This window comes from Homo sapiens, chromosome 7 (assembly GCF_000001405.40).
Source record: "Homo sapiens chromosome 7, GRCh38.p14 Primary Assembly".
NCBI lineage: Eukaryota > Metazoa > Chordata > Mammalia > Primates > Hominidae > Homo > Homo sapiens.
In genome coordinates this window covers 136,776,891-136,780,975 of record NC_000007.14, presented here as the reverse complement: position 1 = coordinate 136,780,975, position 4,085 = coordinate 136,776,891, and the positions used below count along the sequence as shown (strand labels likewise).

The following is a 4,085-nucleotide window of genomic DNA, read 5'->3' as shown; positions in this document are numbered from 1 at the left end:
GTGGGATTGCTGTATAATATGATAGTTCTATGTTTAGGTTTTTGAGGAACATCCAAACTATTCTTCATAGTGGTTGTACTAGTTTACATTCCTACCGATGGCATACAAGGGCTCCCTTTTCTCCACATCCTTGCCAGCATCCTCACCAGCATTTGTTATTGACTGTATTTTTTTTTTATAAAAGCCATTTTAGGAGCCAAGATGGCCGAATAGGAACAGCTCTGGTCTACAGCTCCCAGCGTGAGCGATGCAGAAGACGGGTGATTTCTGCATTTCCATCTGAGGTACCGGGTTCATCTCACTAGGGAGTGCCAGACAGTGGGCGCAGGTCAGTGGGTGCGCGCACTGTGCGCGAGCCGAAGCAGGGCCAGGCACTGCCTCACTTGGGAAGCGCAAGGGGTCAGGGAGTTCCCTTTCCGAGTCAAAGAAAGGGGTGACGGACGCACGTGGAAAATCGGGTCACTCCCACCCGAATATTGCGCTTTTCGGACAGGCTTAAAAAACGGCCCACCACGAGATTATATGCCGCACCTGGCTCAGAGGGTCCTACGCCCATGGAGTCTCACTGATTGCTAGCACAGCAGTCTGAGATCAAACTGCAAGGTGGCAGCTAGGCTGGGGGAGGGGCGCCCGCCATTGCCTAGGCTTGATTAGGTAAACAAAGCAGCCTGGAAGCTCCAACTGGGCGGAGCCCACCACAGCTCAAGGAGGCCTGCCTGCCTCCGTAGGCTCCACCTCTGGGGGCAGGGCACAGACAAACAAAAAGACAGCAGTAACCTCTGCAGACTTAAATGTCCCTGTCTGACAGCTTTGAAGAGAGCAGTGGTTCTCCCAGCACGCAGCTGGAGATCTGAGAACGGGCAGACTGCCTCCTCAGGTGGGTCCCTGACCCCTGACCCCCGAGCAGCCTAACTGGGAGGCACCCCCCAGCAGGGGCACACTGACACCTCACACGGCAGGGTATTCCAACAGACCTGCAGCTGAGGGTCCTGTCTGTTAGAAGGAAAACTAACAAACAGAAAGGACATCCACACCAAAAACACATCTGTACATCACCATCATCAAAGACCAAAAGTAGATAAAACCACAAAGATGGGGAAAAAACAGAACAGAAAAACTGGAAACTCTAAAACACAGAGCGCCTCTCCTCCTCCAAAGGAACGCAGTTCCTCACCAGCAACTGAACAAAGCTGGATGGAGAATGACTTCGACGAGCTGAGAGAAGAAGGCTTCAGATGATCAAATTACTCTGAGCTACGGGAGGACATTCAAACCAAAGGCAAAGAAGTTGAAAACTTTGAAAAAAATTTAGAAGAATATATAACTAGAATAACCAATACAGAGAAGTGCTTAAAGGAGCTGATGGAGCTGAAAACCAAGGCTCGAGAACTACGTGAAGAATGCAGAAGCCTCAGGAGCCGATGCGATCAACTGGAAGAAAGGGTATCAGCGATGGAAGATGAAATGAATGAAATGAAGCGAGAAGGGAAGTTTAGAGAAAAAAGAATAAAAAGAAATGAGCAAAGCCTCCAAGAAATATGGGACTATGTGAAAAGACCAAATCTACATCTGATTGGTGTACCTGAAACTGATGGGGAGAATGGAACCAAGTTGGAAAACACTCTGCAGGATATTATCCAGGAGAACTTCCCCAATCTAGCAAGGCAGGCCAATGTTCAGATTCAGGAAATACAGAGAACGCCACAAAGATACTCCTCGAGAAGAGCAACTCCAAGACACATAATTGTCAGATTCACCAAAGTTGAAATGAAGGAAAAAATGTTAAGGGCAGCCAGAGAGAAAGGTCAGGTTACCCTCAAAGGGAAGCCCATCAGACTAACAGCGGATCTCTTGGCAGAAACCCTACAAGCCAGAAGAGAGTGGGGGCCAATATATTCAACATTCTTAAAGAAAAGAATTTTCAACCCAGAATTTCATATCCAGCCAAACTAAGCTTCATAAGTGAAGGAGAAATAAAATACTTTACAGACAAGCAAATGCTGAGAGATTTTTGTCACCACCAGGCCTGCCCTAAAAGAGCTCCTGAAGGAAGCGCTAAACATGGAAAGGAACAACCGGTACCAGCCACTGCAAAATCATGCCAAAATGTAAAGACCATCAAGGCTAGGAAGAAACTGCATCAACTAACGAGCAAAATCACCAGCTAACATCATAATGACAGGATCAAATTCACACATAACAATATTAACTTTAAATGTAAATGGACTAAATACTCCAATTAAAAGATAGAGACTGGCAAATTGGATAAAGAGTCAAGACCGATCAGTGTGCTGTATTCAGGAAACCCATCTCACGTGCAGAGACACACATAGGCTCAAAATAAAAGGATGCAGGAAGATCTACCAAGCAAATGGAAAACAAAAAAAGGCAGGGGTTGCAATCCTAGTCTCTGATAAAACAGACTTTAAACCAACAAAGATCAAAAGAGACAAAGAAGGCCACTACATAATGGTAAAGGGATCAATTCAACAAGAAGAGCTAACTATCCTAAATATATATGCACCCAATACAAGAGCACCCAGATTCATAAAGCAAGTCCTGAGTGACCTACAAAGAGACTTAGACTCCCACACATTAATAATGGGAGACTTTAACACCCCACTGTCAACATCAGACAGATCAACGAGACAGAAAGTCAACAAGGATACCCAGGAATTGAACTCAGCTCTGCACCAAGCAGACCTAATAGACATCTAAAGAACTCTCCACCCCAAATCAACAGAATATACATTTTTTTCAGCACCACACCATACCTATTCCAAAATTGACCACATACTTGGAAGTAAAGCTCTCCTCAGCAAATGTAAAAGAACAGAGATTATAACAAACTATCTCTCAGACCACAGTGCAATCAAACTAGAACTCAGGATTAAGAATCTCACTCAAAACTGCTCAACTACATGGAAACTGAACAACCTGCTCCTGAATGACTACTGGATACATAACGAAATGAAGGCAGAAATAAAGATGTTCTTTGAAACCAACGAGAACAAAGACACAACATACCAGAATCTCTGGGACGCATTCAAAGCAGTGTGTAGAGGGAAATTTATAGCACTAAATGCCCACAAGAGAAAGCAGGAAAGATCCAAAATTGACACCTTAACATCACAATTAAAAGAACTAGAAAAGCAAGAGCAAACACATTCAAAAGCTAGCAGAAGGCAAGAAATAACTAAGATCAGAGCAAAACTGATGGAGATAGAGACATGAAAAACCTTTCAAAAAATCAATCAATCCAGGAGCTGATTTTTTGAAAGGATCAACAAAATTGATAGACCTCTAGCAAGACTAATAAAGAAAAAAAGAGAGAAGAATCAAATAGACACAATAAAAAATGATAAAGTGGATATCACCACCGATCCCACAGAAATACAAACTACCATCAGAGAATATTACAAACACCTTCACGCAAATAAACTAGAAAATCTAGAAGAAATGGATAAATTCCTCGACACATACACTCTCCCAAGACTAAACCAGGAAAAAGTAGAATCTTTGAATAGACCAATAACAGGAGCTGAAATTGTGGCAATAATCAATATTTACCAACCAAAAAGAGTCCAGGACCAGATGGATTCACAGCCGAATTTTACCAGAGGTACAAGGAGGAACTGGTACCATTCCTTCTGAAACTATTCCAATCAATGGAAAAAGAGGGAATCCTCCCTAACTCATTTTATGAGGCCAGCATCATTCTGATACCAAAGCTGGGCAGAGACACAGCCAAAAAAGAGAATTTTAGACCAATATCCTTGATGAACATTGATGCAAAAATCCTCAATAAAATACTGGCAAAACGAATCCAGCAGCACATCAAAAAGCTTATCCACCATGATCAAGTGGGCTTCATCCCTGGGATGCAAGGTTGGTTCAATATACGCAAATCAATAAATGTAATCCAGCATGTAAACAGAACCAAAGACAAAAACCACATGATTATCTCAATAGATGAAGAAAAGGCCTTTGACAAAATTCAACAGCCCTTCATGCTAAAAACTCTCAATAAATTAGGTATTGATGGGATGTATTTCATAATAATAAGAGCTATCTATGACAAACCC

At 42.8% G+C, this 4,085-nt stretch overlaps 1 annotated feature.

Annotated features, from left to right (window-relative positions):
• Positions 494 to 1,016: an enhancer, noted in NCBI's record as "NANOG-H3K4me1 hESC enhancer chr7:136464707-136465229 (GRCh37/hg19 assembly coordinates)". NCBI's record gives its function as "activates a minimal SCP1, AML or CMV promoter by ChIP-STARR-seq in naive H9 embryonic stem cells {active_cell/tissue: H9 hESC(naive)}" and the evidence as "EXISTENCE:reporter gene assay evidence [ECO:0000049][PMID:30033119]".